Source organism: Homo sapiens, chromosome 18 (genome assembly GCF_000001405.40).
Source record: "Homo sapiens chromosome 18, GRCh38.p14 Primary Assembly".
Lineage (NCBI taxonomy): Eukaryota > Metazoa > Chordata > Mammalia > Primates > Hominidae > Homo > Homo sapiens.
This window is the reverse complement of record NC_000018.10, coordinates 10,304,509-10,323,330: the sequence shown is the minus strand read 5'-3', so window position 1 is coordinate 10,323,330 and position 18,822 is coordinate 10,304,509. Positions and strand designations below refer to the sequence as shown.

The following is an 18,822-nucleotide window of genomic DNA, read 5'->3' as shown; positions in this document are numbered from 1 at the left end:
CACATTCCATGTTCTTCAGTGACTCACAAGGAAGTTGGCATTATTGTGTGTGGAACAGCAGCAGAGCTTACTAACATTCTCAGCTACAAAACAAAAAATAACGAACCAGAGACTTCAGCTCAGTTCTTGTGATTGGAGTTGTGTTTCCTCCAGAGTGACGAGCATGGTATAAGACGCCTCGCCCTGCACCCCATCACGGCTCTCCCCAGACAGCCCTGACAGAGGGTAGGTACAACAAACACACATTGCTCAGTCGCTGCCGTCACCTCTCCAAGCTTCTGTTCCATTCTCCACTCTCACATTATCCACTGTCATGAAACAAAAGGAGAAAAAGAAGAGAAAAACTACGTTCAAAATGTTTATTGTTACCATGATCATTACTGTTGTTATTTATTATACTGGTTTATTTTAGAAGGAAAATAATTTGGGTTTAGAGGTGCTTAGAGGTGGATTGTGGGAATTTATAGTGTAGTCGTGGGACTATAAGGATGAAGGAACCATTGCCCTTAAAAAAAATTAGGAACTTGGTTGGTTCGTTACAGTATTCATTGACATGAAAACATCCAGAAACTTACAGTCAGCAAGTGTGTATGTGAGTCACAACTCACATAATACTCATGTGAGTTGTGGTCAGAGACTAGCATCCCACGGGCCCTGGAACCAGACACACCTGGGTTTGATTTCTGACCACAGCTTATCACTATCTGCTCTTTGGCAGATGGCTTAACCAAGCTAACCTCTATTTTTCAGATCTGTGGAATGGGGATAATAATAGGACCTATCTGACAGGGTGGTTGGGATCATTGACTGAAATAACACATGAAAGAACTTAGCACAGTGCCTAGCAGGCAGTAAGTACTCAGGAAATGTCAGCTGCTGTCAAACTTTCTAGGAACAGAAAAGCAGAGCTGTATCTAATATAGCTTAAACTGGTATGCTCTGCAGGACAGGGAGGAGTCTCATTTTGCATCAAGAGCTTTCCATGGGTCATGTTATTTCACCCTGCACGATGCTGTGTGGTCTCATCACCACTGAACACACAAGACCCTGAGACTCTGAGAGGTAGACACTGCACTCTACAGCTGCGATTCACACCTGGATCTGCTGGCTCAAGGTCTGCACTCTTTCCACTGCACCACAGTAACCCACATGAATCAGCAATGAAAAGGCAAGACGGAGTAAGGTGAGGCCAATGGCGATGGGGAGCGCAATGGGATTTCGAGAAGGGGGCTCGTGTGAGCTGGGGCAGTCAGGAAGGGGGCCTGGCCCTCAGCTGAGTGGAAAAGGGCAAAAGGATTTGTTTAGACTAAGGGGAAGGGTGCACATTCTGGAAAGGTCAATTCCACCCCCTCAACCTTAGTCAAGACAGGATTTTATGCTCACCAGAGGCCAAGTCCTTCTTTGTCAGTTGATGTACCAACAGTCCTGGCTATGAGCTTGCTGCACAGTTCTCATCAGGACCAGAAAGGGGGCCTGGGTCAGCCTGTCCCTCTGGGGCCATCCATCACAGCTGCTTCTTACCCAGACTGGGGAAGCCCGGGACAACCTCTGAGTCCTGGTACCTGCAGCCAGGCTGTGACAGCATTTATCAGAGGGCTAGGGGCAGCCTGGTCCCTGCAGCTCTTGTATGCCTGCTGGGGAGGGCAGGACTGGCGGTAGAGAAGATGGGATCCAGCTGGGGTCTGCTGGCCTCAAAATGGTCTCAAGTAGTGAATGCAGGGGCTCCCACAGGACTAGAGCTTTGCATTTCTGGTTCTTCATCCAGTTCTGAAGCTTAGACATAGTGGATATAAAAATAATCTGGGGAGCTTGCTCACAATGCAGGTATTCCTGGCCTCACCCCAACTATTTTAATTTCAGGTAATTTGGGTGGGGTTCAGGAATCTTCATTTAAGAAAAATACCTCCAGTGACAGACAGATGGCCATCAACCACAATTTGAGGAAAAAAAAGCCTCAAGTTCATGCTATTGAGCTCAACCTTTGGGAAAAAATTCTTCTATCCTGTGTGAAAGAAAATGGTGTTTTTCTAAGTCCCAAGAAAACATCCTAAAGGGATGCAAGGAAGGATTCGATGGGCATTCCTTCCAAGGCATGAAAGGAGAGCGGATGGCTGTGTCTTGTACTCAGCCGCCCTCCACAGAGCCTGTGGCAGACCCGGGAATGTCCATGTGTCTCAGAGCTGAAGTGAGGTGCATAGGCCAAGTTCAAACCAGTGCCGCCTCCTTGCAGGGTGGTCAGAAAACACATGGACATTTGTCAAGAACTCTGGAGTAGCCCATGTCTGTGGTTACACAATGAAACATTCTTCCCCAGCAGCAACCCCCAGAAGGCTTCCAATATTTCGCGCCCACACACTGAACATGAAATAGTGATTCATGGTAAGAGGATGTGCATAGAAAAAGCTTAGAAGTGACCCCTTCTTATTTTGCAAATAACAAAAGGAAACACTCCTTTAGATCCCGTGTAATTCAGAAGCCGATTGGGTGGCGTGTGGGCTTTCAGAGAGAATGAAGACAGACATCTGGCAAGGACTTTTCTTGGTCATAATGACTTGCTTCTCATTCTGCTTCCGATGGCCTCCAAGAGGATGCAGTTATGGGGAGAAATGGGACGCAGGAGATCTGGGGTCAGGGGAATGTGGATCACAGGGGTGTGTCCAGATCCCTGGACCTGCCACGTTTGTGATCTCGGAAACATGATTCCATCTCTCCAGGTTTGTATTTCTCCATGTATGATTAATGGTGCCTCTACTGACATGTGGGCGTGATGATCATAAGATGATCAAAAAATGGTTATTGAGGCCAAAACTCTCAGCATCGTCGTGGACGCTTACACTGCACATCTGATCCATCGCAATACCTGCAGCTCTACTTGCCTTCTTGCGTCTCACCATTCCTCACCCTTGCCCCACTGCCACCCTGGCCAGAGGCTATCACTTCCCACCTGGGCTGTTGCAATGGCTTCCAAACTGGTCTCAAAGCTCCTCCCCTGGCACTTCAATCCAGATTCTTCCCCATCCAGTCAGAGCATGGCGCTCCTCTGCTGTTGCTCTACTCTGCCTTGCTTCTGCCCTCGGACTTGGTAGAATCTGCCTTACCTACAGAGCTATAAGGTCTTGCAAGTTTGATCTGCCTACATCCTCACCCATAGACAACTACCCTCCTCTCCTCCCACTTCCCCTCTTGCTTGCTTCTCTCAGCTCCCTGGCCTCTCTGCTAACCTTGGAAGGGACCAGACAAAGTTCTAGCTCAGCCCATTTGCACTTCCTGTCCCTTCTGCCTATGTCACTTTTTCTTTCTGATATCAGCATAGCTTATTCTCTCACCTTCTCAGTAAGCAATTTCCTGCCACCCTATTTAAAATCGTACACCACCCTTTACTCCATACCCTCTTTCCTGCATTTTTCTTTTGAACATAGCAGTTATCACCATCTATCATACTGTAAATATGACATGTCCATCTTGTTAGTTGCCTGTTACCTACCACATGATGACAAACCTGGCACATATTTATTGAAGGAACAAATAAACTATAATGATCAATTCAACTTCAAGTTGGCTAACTCATCAGCAAACATCTGTGGAATCCTTTAAGTAGAAGGATTTTGGAGAAGTGATTATTGTAAGTTGTTATGTTTTAGGTATGTTAGGACTATCACTACTTTCTTATTCTTTCCTCGTTTATTAGCAGAGCCAGGTAGGTGCAATTGCTACAAAGTGATTTGATGTGGCCTTTCTTACTTTTTTTAACCTGTTGCCATTAGACCTTCTATATTATTCAGCAGTTACTAGGTTATCCTGCAATAACAAATGCACTTTGAAATTCCCAAAACATACACTTAGATTTATTTCTCACCCATGCTACATGTCCAACTTGGGGCAAGGAGTTTTCTGCTCCACATCAGCACTCTGGGATCCAGGCTGACAGGGACTCCATCAAGAACATCTTTGACTGAAGAAAGGAAAGAGAGTGCAGACTCAGGTGGAGCAAAGGTGTCCAGATTTGACCAATTAAACGGCAGCCCAAGAGACCTGTGTCACTTCTAGGCTGAGGAAGAAAGTAAACCCCCGTGCAAGGACCTTGTAAAGTGCAGTTTCCCACATGCCCAGAAAAAGAAAAGGAGAAGCAACACTGCTGAGCCCTAGTATTACCCAGCATTCTTCAAGTGTAGAAATTGTTTAGTGCTGCAGCTAGAATTCAGAAGAAAAAAACACTGTCTGATCCATTCATGGCCCCAAAGTCAAATATTATGGGAAAAAAATATTAAAAAGAAATTGAGCAAAGATTAAAAATTATAATGGACAAAACTCCAATATCCTTATTGAGTCTAAAATGGTATTTTTCATGTATTCCTTTGTGGTCACTATAAACCAAACTTAGAATATTTTAAGATGTTTTTGTTCTTCATCATCTATTTAGCTTTACTGAGTGTTCTTCTGCTTCTGTAAAATGCCAGCTTCAAGAATCGTCCCCACTTATGTAGGAAATGGGCGAGGGCAGGGGGAACTGTGTTAGAATGCTCCAGGCTCTGTGGGAGGGATAAGGGATAAGGAGCACTCACATGCTGTGAACAATTCAAGCTGCACCGTGACTCTGAGGAGGTGATGTCACTCCTTGCTCAATGGCCCCAAAGAAGAAGGTTATGCCAGGATTAAAAATTGGGTGTTGAACTCCGAGAGCTCTGTCCCTTCCAGCATAACCCACTAGTACAGAACGCTGACTTTCAAAAGCTGGTGAGGCTCAGCCACTCCAGGGAATCAGAGCTCTAACATCAGAGTGGCTGAGCTGGGAGATACCCAAAAAGGACCATCTCAGTCAAATCCTTGTTTTATAGATAGTATTATTAATAATGTTTTCAAGTGCAGATTGGAGCTGGATATTTTTATATACATTAGCAGGGGTGCTTCCAGGTTATAGGTAGATTTAAAATTGTTCTGATTGGCAACTGGCTGAAAGAGTTATTATCAATAGAAAGGAATGTCTGAGCTGCCATAAGAGGTTTCAGAAACCAAAGTTTTATCATGCAGATGAAGCCTCCAGGTAGCAGGCTTCAGAGAGAATAGACTGTAAATGCTTCTTATCAGAGTTAAGATCTATGTTGATCTTAACGCTGGTCAGCTTGTCTTGAAATCAAAAAGGGAGGAGGTCATAATGAGGCTTGTCTAACACCTTCTTCCTGTCATGACCTGAGCCAGTATCTCAGGTTAATGTTGGAATGCCCTGGCCAAGAGGAGGGATCCATTCAGAGGATTTGGCGGAGGAACTCAGAATTTTATTTTTGGTTTACAAGGTGCTAGGAGGAAGGGTGAGACTATGTGAGCAGAAGAAGTCATGGAATTTTCAGTAGTCCCTTCACTGAATAACTGAGGAATGGCGGAAATGCTGACACCTGCAAGACAAAGCTGAAATTCTGAGGGTGGGCTGGAATCATTATGTGCGTGAGAGAAGGTGGCAGAATCTTACACCTGGAATTCTTTAGGGGACAACTCACTTCTATTTTGATATTTGCTGTGGCTTGAACCTCTGTCCTCCCCCATCCTTTCAGCCCAGGTTCCAGCACCCAAGCCAGTTGAGGTGGTGTATGCAGCTTATGCGACTCATGACAAAAAATGCAGATGGAGGGACTATGAAATTGACACCTCAGTCTTCTTACAAGGACAATCTTTGACAAGAAGACAAAGATCTGGAGGAATTTTTTGAGATGCACCCAGGCATTGCTGCTTAAGTGCACCTCGGGGGGAGAGAAGTCAGCGTGTGTGTCCCTTGGCCAGATAGCAAGTAAAGGAGATGGATTGGTGGGCAGGGGCTCTGGCTTAGAGTCCCCACTGGGGTCATGGTGGGGTAGGAGTCTGGAGTGGCCCTTCATGGAGTAAGCACTGGGACCCCGACAGCAGGACTGCGTTTGTGGTTTGCCTGCTCTGCTCCTGAGGGGCTTTCATGCTGGAGCAGGGTCTGCAGTCTGCAGGCAGAAGGAGAGGGCACAGGCATGGGCCTTGTATCCACCTGGTTTCCTGGGACCTTGCACATGGCTTTGTTTCTGCCATGCTGCTCTGTGGGTGATGCTTTGTCTTGTTGCGTTAAAGTGTGTGTGCTTGGGTGTTGCTTGAGACTGTGTGTGTTGGGAGCATCCAGAAGGGGGTAGTAAGCAGGACCGAGTCAGTGAGGAAACGCCTCAAGTGAGGCCCTCAACCCCAGACATCCTTAACACACACCTTTAAAACAAACTTGCTATGAACGTAGTTTAGAGTTACAGAAAAGGTGCAAAAGCCAGCCAAACAGTGTGCTGGTAACATCCTACCTAACCATAGCAGAATTATTGACAACAGGATCTTTGCTGTGACACAACGTTGCCTCAACCACAGACCCCATGGGAATTCAGCCGTCCCCATGGGTGTCCTCTGTCCCAGAACCCACTCTGCCTTTAGCTGTTTTCTCCTTAGTTCTCTCCAGCCTTCAATATTTCAGTCTCTTCCTGTCTTTTTTGATCTTGAAGGATTGTTATCTTTTAGATAAGAGATAACATGGCTGGGCGTGGTGGCTCACGCCTGTAATCCCAGCACTTTGGGAGGCCGAGGCAGGTGAATCACAAGGTCAGGAGATGGAGACCATCCTGGCTAACACGGTGAAACCCTATCTCTACTAAAAATACAAAAATTAGCCGGGCGTGGTGGCGGGTGCCTGTAGTCCCAGCTGCTGGGGAGGCTGAGGCAGGAGAATTGCTTGAACCCGGGAGGCGGAGCTTGCAGTGAGCCGAGATCGTGCCACTGCACTCCAGCCTGGGCGACAGAGTGAGACTCGTCTCAAAAAAAAAAAAAAAAAGAGATAACTTCTCTCTTAGCAATTTAACCCTTAGAAATAAATTCTCTCCCAATGAACTAGGACAGAATTCTCTGTTACCATTTAAATTATTTTCTGCTTCTGGATATACATTTCTTTCTCAGTGGGCAGATACTGTTGCCATACACTTCTCTGTTTCCCTGCCTCCTGTGGAGGAGTCACATTTTGTTTCAATGCTCAATTTACAAAAGAGAGATACCCGTTCTAGTTCTGGGTTACTCTTTTTTTTTTTTTTCCTCACTGTTCCCCAGGCTGGAGTGCAATGGCGTGATCTTGGCTCACTGCAACCTCTGCCTCCCAGGTTCAAGCAATTCTCCTGCCTCAGCCTCCCAAGTAGCTGGGATGATTACAGGCAACTACCACCATGCCTAGCTAATTTTTGTATTTTTAGTAGAGAGGGGGTTTTGCCATGTTGGCCAGGCTGGTCTCGAACTCCTGACCTTGTGATCCGCCCACCTCGGCCTCCCAAAGTGCTGGGTTTACAGGCGTGAGCCACTGTGCCTGACCTCTTGGTTACTCTTGACCTTTAAATGGTGTTGTCTAGTGATTTCTTCTGCAGAATGACAATTTCCTTTTCCACTCTTGAGTGATGCTGTACTCTACTTGATCATTTGTTCTCCCTACTGGCATTTTCTCTGCTGCTTCTCTCTCTCTTTATGGAGGTCCCAGTGATACTGTTGCTCCTTTGAAAGCCCTCTTTTTTTCTCTCTGCAAACTTCTAAGATTTTGTCTTTGGCCACCAGCAGGTTTCCTGTTATGGTTCCGGTCATAGTTCTCCTTTTTGTTTGCTCATATTTTTTTGTGAAGCCCACAGGAACTAAGATGTGCTAAGTGCATTTGACCATTATTACCTGAAATTTCAATCATAGGGAACAAGTGTCTTCTCCATGACTTGTCTCTATGGGAATGAGGAAACCCATTGCTGTGAATTTCACAGGGTTGTGAGAATGACTGCTCTCCCATCTCCCTCAGAGCAGAGATGGATGAAGGGGTTGATAGGCACAGGCTGGCTTCAAAGGCAGCAGGAGAGGCCCCGGTTCTCTGACTCCTGACTGCACTCCCTGCCCTCTCTGGGCTCCTGTTCTTCTGACAAAAAGAGCAGAGTGTCAGACTGGACTCGTCCACCTGCATGCATACCTTAGCGTGTACTGAGGTTCCAGGCTCAAACTCCTCCCCAGGTGACTGCATGGGAGAGGAGGGGGCTGAAGTCACAGACTGGGAGTTCACTCCTGGTGTGTAGGGAGCAGACTGCACACAGCTGAAAAGAAGTCATGAGTGCAGGCAGGGCCCAGGAGTGGGGAACAGAATGTATTTTCCTGTCACTCTACTTCACCAGAGCCAAGGAGGGAAAAAAAACGAGGAGGAGGTGAGGGAAGATGCGCGGCCATATGTTTCAAGGAGGCGGGAGAACTGACCCCTCAGTGCACACGGAGGATGTCTGACCCTCACAGAGGCCACCTGCACTGGAGCTTGGGTGGCAACAGTCAGGGAGGGCCACCTTTAGGACTCTGAGAGCAGGACACCAGAAAAAAAAAAAAGGAAAACATTTCATTTGAAAGACTGATGTTTATTACCGAACAACACTGAAAAATCATGTCCTGGGACACATCAGAAGTCCACTTTCTTTCCTCATGGCTTGGTCTTGTTTTTATTTTGACCTGGGGCAGTAGGGGAGGGGAGCCATAAGCTTTTCAGAACCAGGGCCTCTAGAAAGCCTTCCTCCAGTCCTGGCGACAGCTGTTGCCAACAGCAAGTGCTGCTTTGAGTCTGCATTTCCAGAGCCCCTCTTGGCTGTCCCCATGGTTGGCATTTGCAGGAACACAAGTGCCCCTCCCAGCTCCTCAGCAGAATCAACCCCAGCTCACCCACAACACAGCCAGGAGGAGGCACAGGGCCTAAAGGCCTCCACAGCCACACGGAGGTGCATCTTGGCCCTTAGCGCTGGGATATGCAAAGCGGGGTCCGCAAGGGGTGTGCCTATGGGGGCCCAGAAAGATCCACCCGCAGGCTTGTTTCACAGGAGAGGGGTGTCTCGTAAAAACTACACACCCATCCTAATTGCAACCAATTCTGTTCATTGAAAGTCAGTAAAAGGAGGATATCATAAAAAAGGATACATGTGTACTGTAAATATTTATTTTACCAAAAACACATGTTTGTGCGTTCACTCGCCAGGATTTTGATGGAGTACTGAGGCCTTCTTTTGGCTATGAGTTGCTCACTGAAGTTCTGTGTCTCCTTGCATAAACCGCTCCTATGAATCATTTGGGATTTCCATTTTGATTTCTTTAAAGTGAAGTGTGAAAATAAAGCCATTTGAGAAATAATCAAAATTCCAAAACTTCTGGAGTTTTATGATACGGTTGTCTCACCTACACTTAATTCAACAGCAATATGCTGAAAGACTTGCCTGTTTGCAGTCTTTTCAAAGCATTCAACTTACGTTTGTTTGTTTTGTTTGTTTGTTTGGGTTTTATTTATTTATTTATTTATTTATTTATTTATTTATTTAATGGAGTTTCACTCTTGTTGCCCAGGCTGGAGTACAGGGGTGTGATCTCGGCTCACTGCGACCTCTACCTACCAGGTTCAAATGATTCTCCTGCCTCAGCCGCCAAAGTAGCTGGGATTACAGGCGTGTGCCACCATGCCTGGCTAATTTTATATTCTCAGTAGAGACCAGGTTTCACCATGTTGACCAGGCTGGTCTTGAACTCCTGCCCTCAGGTGATCCACCCGCTTTGACCTCCCAAAGTGGTAGGATTACAGGCATGAGCCACCACGACTGGCCTGGACTTAGTTTTAAGAGAAACAATAAATATCCTTCTTTTTGTACTCATACTTCATTGGTTTCACACTATTTAATTAGATTATGTAATTGCAGTGACATGTGCAACTGGAATAAACAGGTTGGGAAAAAATATGTCCGATTTGTGGCAAGCATACATCTCTCCCCTGGGGGACACAGAAGAATGTGTGCACCCCAGAGAGCTGCTGCAGAGCTGATGATGTTCAGCTTGTGAGCATTCGTGACTGTCTTCCATGCAAGTAGTGTTGCTCGTAAACACAACACATGCATTTCTGTCGCACTGTCGGCTTTCATCAGTTTATGCTGCAGTGACATATAGCTCCAAAGCTTCATTGGCTTACAAGAACAAAGATTTGCTTCTCCTCCACATCAGGCACCCTTCCCATTTGGCTGGAGCTCCATGTCTCCCGCTCGTTGTTTCAGAATCCAGGTGAAAGGATCTGTCCCTATCTGGGGCATGCCAGTATCATGGTACAGGAAAAGGGATGTGGAACCATGCAATGGCCCTTACCACTTCCATGTGGACCTGGCACATGCCTTAACTTCACCTTGTACTAGCCAGAGCAAGTCACATGGTTGAGTCTTTCTTCAGGGAGGGGACAATATAATCTCCTGGGGCTGGACGGGGTGGTGGGGTGTGTGGTGGGGCACTGCAACTCTTGGACAAGCTTGATCTCAAAGGGAGAGGTCATGCAATCCTCTCCCAAAGGAGGTAGTGACTATCTGGAGCAAAGATATACTCTACAACATAGGCTAAGTAAAGACCAGTGAACAGAGACTCTATTGTATATGGTATGGCTTAATATGGGTCAATGAACTCAATGGTGTGTTACAGAATGGCTCTTGTTTAAAGGAGATGGCCCTCTGAAATTCCTATAGTTCAGCCTCTCAGAGCCATTGGAAACCTGAAATGTGAAGCTCCATCTACCACAGACTCTTCAAGAGCTGAGCCTAGGAACAGTACATACCATGCGTTCACTAAAAGCTTGTTAAATGAGTGAATGAGTTTGCCCACCTTCATCTTAGAGACAGTCCCAGCACTGGAGGGAAGCCACAGAGCTCTTCTTGGAATGAGAGAGAGGACTCTAGGGGACATGTCAGTAAAATGTTGTGGCTCAGGTCACATTCTTGGGAAGAGCATCATCACGGGGCTGAGTTCTGGATGCCAGAGGATATTGGTAGCCCACACTGGACCGGATCCTAGAAGAAGCAGACCTTGGGAAGAGCTGGAGAGACAGGGAGGGCTCCAGGGGAAATCTATGATGAACAATTGATGGTCAGCATGGCTTCCCACGGTCTGGGACCAAGCCCCTGAGCCCACAAACAGAGCTTGGGGATAAAGTAGACAGACGAAGGCAGCAGGTCAAGAATCCTCACCACCCTGGGGAATGTGTGTTAATCTAGTCTTATTATTTGAACAGGAAACAAAAAACTGATCAAATACTTCTGGGAACTCCTTCTGCAGGCTTGACTTTCTTAGCCATCAGGCACACTCAGGGTCCACAGCAAAACTCCAGCTGCTTCCTTAGGAGTAAATAATCTGATGTATAGAAAGTTCTTGACAAATATGTGTTCCTCATCTTTCATTGCAGCTTCAAGCACTGATGACCATCTGTTTTAGCCCGAGTTGCCTATGAAACAGAGCGTTATGCAGAAGCTGAAGTACTAATGCCTTGTTAGAGGATGCAAGCCCAGGGAAGCAAGAGTGAGAGGTAAAGAAAGAGATAAAGGAGGAACAACCAATGGACAGGGGTGCATTACCAAGATGGCCACTACTTCATTACAAAAAGAACTGATAGATCCATCCTGTGGCATGGCTCAGAGAGGCTACAGGAAACATGGCATCTCAGAGCATCATTTAGGAAAGGAAGGGTGAGCAGATTATCTGTGGAACTCCCCCTCGCTCCTGGTGTTATTTTGGACCCTGGCAGCATCCAGGAAATCCAACACCTCCATATGGTTGGCCACTGGGGAAGGTCTGGTTATGGTCAGCGGATCTGGTTTGGAGCATAAACTGAGCATGGTATTTATCCATAGTAAAATCCCTGTTTAGTGGGTCCCTTTATAGTATGCAGGATGGTACCTAGATCAAGTGGTTGTTATGAGGATTAAGTGAAATCATGAACACAACATCCTTAGCAAAAACCCAAGGACATGGTGAGTGTTCAGTACATGTAGCTGCATTGAACCCCAAGGCACAAGAGCTGTCATCACCGTGTGTGTGTGTGTGTGTGTGTGTGTGTGTGTGTGTTGGCCTGTTTGTGCACATGTAGAGGATGGCAGTGATGAGAAAGAAAGTAGTCAACATCTCTTACTCAAAGTCTGACACAGTCCACTAAACTGATCATTCACCTAATTTTCAATATTTTCCGTGTTCTAAGGACAGTGGTCTAATTGATTGTCTTTATAGTTTTTGAAGTGTAACATTGTATCCTTTCAGGCTGGACATAAAATCATCCCCATCCTAATTCTCTAGTCTCGATTCTAGGGCTATGGACTTGAGGAAGCCTTTCTAAGTACATGTGTTGAGACTGCCTGAGACCTGGCAAACTTCTTAAAGGAAATCCAATTTGCAAGGAAACCATTGCCCAACTGAAGTGAGACCGAACAAACATGATTTGATATTTCCATGAAGAAATTCATTAACGCGGCTTTTCATGATATGACCTTGCTGTGAACACCAAAATGAAGTTTGGTGAAAAGGTCTCTGGCAGGGAGCGTGAGGCTTCTCCTTAGATAGCCTGGAACAGGTATCACCCTGGTGAGGCCTGGTACAGCCGCAAGTGTGGAGCTGGCCCCTCATCAGTCACTCTTGAGAATCACCCAGTTCTGTGGGTAGAGAAGGGAGCTTTCCCTGTCCACTCATGATGGGAGAATCCACAGGCCCCCAGGTCCTGAAGGAGGAAAGTCCGCAGGAACTTCCCTGAGTCCTCAGCCCATCTTAGTCAGTTCCCTTTTGTCTCCAACTTCCAAAATGTACATTGCATTCATCCTCCCAACTCTTTATTTAAATAGTTCTACGAGGTTATAAATTGAAGAGTTCTTTAGAAACACAGCAGTGCACGCAGGCAGCATTCTGTTCCTAGGATTTGGTGTGGGAACTGTCCATTCCAACCCCTGTAGCACTTTCAGGCAGGAATGAGCCTTGGGGCTACATCCTCTAGAGGTTCCCCCCTCCCTGGGTTGATTCCCCATAGATGAGAATCTTGCCTTTGCAAGTCTATTAGGGGACACAATTCCATACAAAACAGTGCAGTCTAGGAGAAGGCAGCGAGCACAGCATGCGTCCTCACCCTCTTTAGACACTTGCATCCTAACGAACCCCTCTGGGCCTCAGTCTCATGCAACTGTTAAAAAATTGAGATAACGATAACTATAGTACCTCATGGGGTCGGGGATTAAATGAGGTGAAATTGATGAGCTCCTTATCAGTGTTTGTCACTAATCAGTCTTATGGCCCCAGGACTGAATGCAAGGACAGAGCTTATTGACACTGATTGTACCCATCTTCTACAAGGAGAAGTAGATACCATTTCTATATCTACTTACATACAACAAAGTATAAAGGCTACATAGTAGATTCATGTGTTAATCTCCAACTCCTCACTGAGAAACTGTTGATCACCCTTAGCAATCATGGCCAAGAGAATCATTCCGGATCCCATCTTTGTCTTCCAGGTCCTGGGGACTTTTTCTTCTTATGTCTGTACCTCATCAGTTAATTCTGGCTCCATACAGAATGCAAAAATATCTACTCGCTGCTCTAGGATCCCCTACTGTTAATCATAGAAAGCCAATTGCCGGGTATGAACTTGCAGAAAGCACAATCTTTAGGAACTGAGTGCTCCTTAATGCCTTTTCACAGAAGGAATTATTTCCCTCCAGTTGTCCCTGTGGTTTGTTTGCCATGGTGTCCTCACCTAAGCATTTGAGGAATAAAACAAAAGTGAATGAAAATGGTGGTTGTCTGATTGTTGTCATGGTTGCACGATACTGCAGCTTCCTAACTCTAGCCAGAGAGTTCTGTGTCCATTTTCTTGGTCTAATACGCACTCTACCAATTTGTGTACTCCATGTGCTATTAGAATGCAAAGGTCACTTGAAGCTCTAGCAGTCAAGGAACTGTCCCTCCTCCCCTCAATTACACAGCATGAGACCCTTCCTTTGTAATATTATAAAATCGATTCCCCCTTCAGTACATGTACCTAAGAGATTTTCTAATTGGTCCATTCATGTCCAATATCTACCTCAATGCTGTCCCTACACCAAAGGCTATATTGAAATATTTGTATTTTTCATAAAGCTCATCGTTTAAAAAAAGTATTAAGAAAAAATAAGAGGGAATGTGATCTTGGAGCCACATCATTACTGTTATCAAATTATCTTCATCCTCTAGCCAGCAAATCAACAACAGAGCCCAAGTCTATGCATCTCGTGCCAATGACACAGGTCTCTATGCCACCGCAGAATATAAATTAGTTTTCAAAGTGGCAATCTGGTTATCTAACTATATCTAAACTCCTTCAAGTCAACAACCCCAGAAAATGATCTAAGCTCTTCAGTACTCTTGATGTTAGTGTGATTGATGCCTTATGTTTGTTTTTTTATATAAACAGAAAAATGTAGCATCTATTAATATAAAACTTATTATGAGTCATCCAGGTTTAGAAGTTAGAGTTCAACCGCTTAGAGATATTTTTCAAATGCCATTGCATGAAAGTATTATCTTACCTTTTACTCCATTTTTAAAAGAGATATTCAGCCAAACACTCATACTCATATCCCCATACGCTTATAAGCAACTACCTGCTCAAAAGACTATGATTATGATTTTTAATAGGACTGCACTTCTTCCCAAATTTAGATAAAGTAATTTCTTATATGCCCAAGTAATTATTTAAAACATGAATTAAAATATAGAAAATGTTATACACATACTTATTAAAATTTGTTACTGTAGTAGGCGAACTCAAGAGGTCTGATGTCACAATACCTAGGTTAAATCTTGGCTACATCACTGTTATTAACTAGAATTAAGTTTAGCTGCCTATAAGAAAGAGTCTCTGAAGAACAAAGGCAGAAACAAGATAAGAGTTTATTTTTCTTTCAGAGAGAAACCCAAAGGAAGGCAGTTTAAGGCTTCACAAAGTCATTAACAAGCCAGACCACTTGCCACTCTCCATGACACTCTCTAAGATCCGACCTTCATCCTAAAGGCTGAAGATGGCTGCTAGAGCCCCAGCTACATCCACATTCCAGTCAGCGCAAAGGAGGAAACAGCAAAAAAGGCAAACACCTTCCCTTAGAAAGACTGCCTGTAAGTACCACACAATACTTCCTCCCACAGGTCATTGCCCAAATCTTAGTCATGTGGCCACATTTAGCTGTGAGGGAGGCTGGGAATCACATAATTTTAGCAGGAAACAATATAATTTAATACTTTGTGCAGAACAGTAACTCAGTAAATAAGTAATCTCTACAAGTAAGATTATATGCTAAGATTTTAGGAAGATGTCTTTGATTACATGGACTCAACACTTTAACTACAGATTGATTTGGAAGAGATGATACTAGCTACAATGAACTCTTGGAATCAGTGTGTATCCATGAGTGAACTTAATATGGAGCACGTTTTCTGGAAAGCAGTCAGCCTCTTCTGTCTCATCTCTCACTTTATGCTCCAGCCTCACTGGGCTGTTCTGATGTTTTTCAATGCACAGTAGAGTCTCATGCCTCTCCCTTTCTTCATTCACTCCTTCTTTTGAAGATGCACTTCTCCACTCCTAATTTCAACTCTACCTGCCCAAATTCATCTCTTTTTTTAAGATGCAATTCAAATACTTCCATTTTTGTGAAGACTTTTTGGGCCATATCAATATAAATAAATCTCTCACTCTTTCACACTCAGATTTCATTATATCTAGTTTCATTTCTCATATCACAGTTTTGTGTACCTGTCTTTCTCTTTTATTAGGTTTTATACCCTGTGAGGGCAAATACTATCTTACTCATATTTGTGTCCTCAGGATCTGGTACAAAAGATTAGTACATTGAAGGTGGTCATTAAAAATGCACTGAATAGACTAGCACTACATGAATGACTTAGTTCATTTCATGTTGCTGTAAAACAATACCACAGGCTGGGTAATTTATAATAAAAAGAAATTTGTTTCCTGTAGTTTGGAGGCTGAGAACTCCAAGGTAAAGGGACTGCATCTGGTGAGGGCCTTCTTGCTGTGTCATAACATGGCAGAAGTCACACCAGGGAGAGAAGAGTACATGAGAGAAAGCCAAACTGGCTTTTATAACAGATCCCCTCTCGGGATAGCTAACCCATTCCCATGATAACCCATTAATCCATTAACTTATGAATAGAATAATCCATTCATAAGGGCAAAACCCTCATAACCTAATCTCCTCTTAAAGTTTCCACCTTGTCCCACTTCTTAATAGCATCACAATAGCAATTAAATTCCAATGTGAATTTTGGAGGGAACATTCAAACCATAGCAATGAAATAATGAGGAAAGAGAGTGCATTTATTTACACAGCTAGGATAATTTTTTAATTTCATAAGATCAACTCTCAGATACTGCATATTGATACAACTCCCTGGCACGTAATTGCTACATTTCTACATATTGAATTTTGGTGCAGTTAGGCATTACTTTCCTGCTCACAGTTAGTTTCAGTTAATGGATTATCTCATGTGAATAAATATGTCAACCAAACAGGCAGCAGTGAAGGACAGCCTGAACTTCACAATCATATTTCCACTTCACCATCTCATTCACTAAGTTAGGCTTCTAGATTTCTACGGTGACAGACCAATGTAATAACTCTACCAGTCAAAGAAGCAGTTACTGTTTTACTTATATTGACCACAGGACTTGGAGAATCACAGACTCAGAAAAAAATGTCCCATTTAAATATAGAAAAGGGCAGTAAAGATTTGAAGCCTCAAAGGCTACTCAAATAAGAACAAAGAAATGTGTCCAGGTTTAATTTCTAGCACTAGGTATTCTGAAGGAAAACCTAAGAATCTGAGAAAGAAACCTAAGAAGGCAGACTAAAATAGGAATAAATATAGTAAAACAAATGCAAGATTTGTATACTCATTTGTACGTCATTGAAAGAAATTAAAGAAAACCTAAATAACTGGAAAGACATCTTTCCATGAATCTTTCCATGGATTGAAACAATATTGTTAAAATGGCAGTAGTCATCAAAGGGATCCACAGATTCAACAAGTCTCTATCAAAATACCAGCTGCTTTGTTTTTCTTTTGCAAAAATTGACAAATTGTAATTTTATAATACTAAAATTTACATGAAAACGTAAAGAAACCCAAATAGTCAAGGTAATTTGATGGGAAAAAGGGGATAACAAACTTAGAAGATACATACTTCTTGATTTCAAAACTTAATCCAAAGCTACAGTAATCAAGACTTGTGATATTGGTATAATGATAGACATGTAGATCAATGGAGTAGACTTGAGAGTTCAGAAAGACACCCTTACATTTATGGTCAGTTCATTTTTGACAATTCCATTAAATGAGATGATTCAATGGAAAAAGAATAGTCTTTATAACAACTCATGCTGGGACAAGTGAATATTGACATGCAAAAAAATGAAATTGAACCCCCAGTTTACACCATGTATAAAAATTAACTCAAAATGGATTATAGGCCTAAATTTAAAAGCTAAAATATATAACTCTTAGAAGAAAACATAGGAGTAAATTTTAATGTGCTTCGATTAGTGCCAAATTGCAAAAGGGAATTGAAAAAGCAGTACTGTTGGGGGAGAGGGTTTGTGACAGAAAGGAGTCACCAACCCTCTAGGTATCAGTTATATGGGTGTTTTCATGTGTGAAAACTCATCAGGTTGTACATTTATGAATTGGTCACTTTTCTTTGTTATCTCTCAAAAAGTTCACTTTAAAAAAACAAAGAAGGCATGCTACTACCTCAGATTTTTGCAGGACATTACTTTCTAGCAAGCAAATGGACATGTGAGTTTAATGTACCCAAGCTCAAGAGAAGCACTGGGCCACAGCCACTTGGGAAGATAAAGACTTTAAAGTACGAGTGGAGCAGAGGCTGCTAGGCAGGTAATCTTCAGGGACAGGAGATGGGAGGCAGTTCGAGGCCTCAGCACCAGGCTTTGGGGCCTGAGAGCCCTGAGCCATCCAACTGAGGGCTGTACATGATCAGAACAAAGGACCAGAATCAGGCTTCCCATAGGTTCTCTGCAAAATTACAAGTGCCAAGAAGGCAGGACGTGAGTTTTGTTCACCATTGCATCTGTAGTGCCTGTTCACAGTGGCTGCATCATAAATGAATTTTCGTTCAATGTACTCCAAATTCACAACACAGGTACTTTCTCCTTTCCTGTACTTTCTCATGGAAGAGGGAAGTGTGCTGTTCATGACATATGCTCATTGTGTGCCCCATCTGTTCCCCGTGGTTCAGGGCAGGATGGAGGCCCTGGAAGGCATTCAGGGTTACTTTTGCCTCTTGTGTGGAAAAGTGACTTTGTGTGCCCAGCCAGATGTTGCTTATGCAACATGCTCGCACGATGTGAAATGGCAAGCCATGTGAAAGACAGTAGACACAAAGGACATCAAACATTGCAAAATTAGTTCTTCTCATGTGCTGTGCCAAATTAGTCATGGACCATTTGTTGTAGGAATGAATCATGAGCACCAGCTCATACAAGCAGGACCCCTAGTCCTCTTTCCTTGGGTATCTGTGGTTCTGCATGAATTTCAAAGTTTGGGGGCTGGGCCCAGGGAGCCTGGGGGCTCCTTCCTGCTGGTTTTCCCTGGAACTTGCCACTGGGTGGAGAGCTCCCTGGGGACAGACAGCACAATCTGTGCTGGTCAAGCTCTTATATAAGAGTTGTTACTACAAGTTCACAGCAGCTTAAATGGGTCTTTCCTATGGATTTTAAGACCTTCAGAAACTAGAGCTTTGGGACTTGGACATCTTTTTATGATTTCTGTCTCATTGCATGGATTAGTCTTCATTTCCTCCCTGAAGCTATTTGCATTCTTAACTGAGCAACAGAGACTCATGAAAACTGGACTTTCTCATTTTAATTAACTCCCCAAAAGGTCAGTCCACTGGTCAGAGCAGAACAGAGGTGGGGGAACACTGAGTTTCAGCCA

General features: G+C 44.0%; 1 long non-coding RNA gene across 4 annotated transcripts, besides 4 other annotated features; it reads left to right on the top strand.

Annotated features, from left to right (window-relative positions):
• On the top strand, positions 1-14,964 carry LOC105371985 (uncharacterized). 4 transcript variants are annotated; one of them, XR_001753344.2, is made up of 5 exons: positions 33-225; positions 751-851; positions 946-1,183; positions 11,240-11,359; positions 14,758-14,964. It is a non-coding gene; the product is annotated as an uncharacterized LOC105371985 (long non-coding RNA). The 4 variants fall into 4 exon arrangements; XR_001753346.2 differs by lacking the exon at positions 751-851 and having other exon boundaries at positions 1-225; XR_001753345.2 differs by lacking the exons at positions 11,240-11,359; positions 14,758-14,964 and adding an exon at positions 1,861-2,607.
• Positions 4,284-4,820: an enhancer, noted in NCBI's record as "OCT4-NANOG-H3K27ac hESC enhancer chr18:10318508-10319044 (GRCh37/hg19 assembly coordinates)". NCBI's record gives its function as "activates a minimal SCP1, AML or CMV promoter by ChIP-STARR-seq in naive H9 embryonic stem cells {active_cell/tissue: H9 hESC(naive)}" and the evidence as "EXISTENCE:reporter gene assay evidence [ECO:0000049][PMID:30033119]".
• Positions 4,821-5,358: an enhancer, noted in NCBI's record as "OCT4-NANOG-H3K27ac hESC enhancer chr18:10317970-10318507 (GRCh37/hg19 assembly coordinates)". NCBI's record gives its function as "activates a minimal SCP1, AML or CMV promoter by ChIP-STARR-seq in primed H9 embryonic stem cells {active_cell/tissue: H9 hESC(primed)}" and the evidence as "EXISTENCE:reporter gene assay evidence [ECO:0000049][PMID:30033119]".
• Positions 5,359-5,895: an enhancer, noted in NCBI's record as "H3K27ac-H3K4me1 hESC enhancer chr18:10317433-10317969 (GRCh37/hg19 assembly coordinates)". NCBI's record gives its function as "activates a minimal SCP1, AML or CMV promoter by ChIP-STARR-seq in primed H9 embryonic stem cells {active_cell/tissue: H9 hESC(primed)}" and the evidence as "EXISTENCE:reporter gene assay evidence [ECO:0000049][PMID:30033119]".
• Positions 8,204-8,703: an enhancer, noted in NCBI's record as "H3K4me1 hESC enhancer chr18:10314625-10315124 (GRCh37/hg19 assembly coordinates)". NCBI's record gives its function as "activates a minimal SCP1, AML or CMV promoter by ChIP-STARR-seq in primed H9 embryonic stem cells {active_cell/tissue: H9 hESC(primed)}" and the evidence as "EXISTENCE:reporter gene assay evidence [ECO:0000049][PMID:30033119]".
• Positions 14,965-18,822: the final 3,858 nt, after the last annotated feature.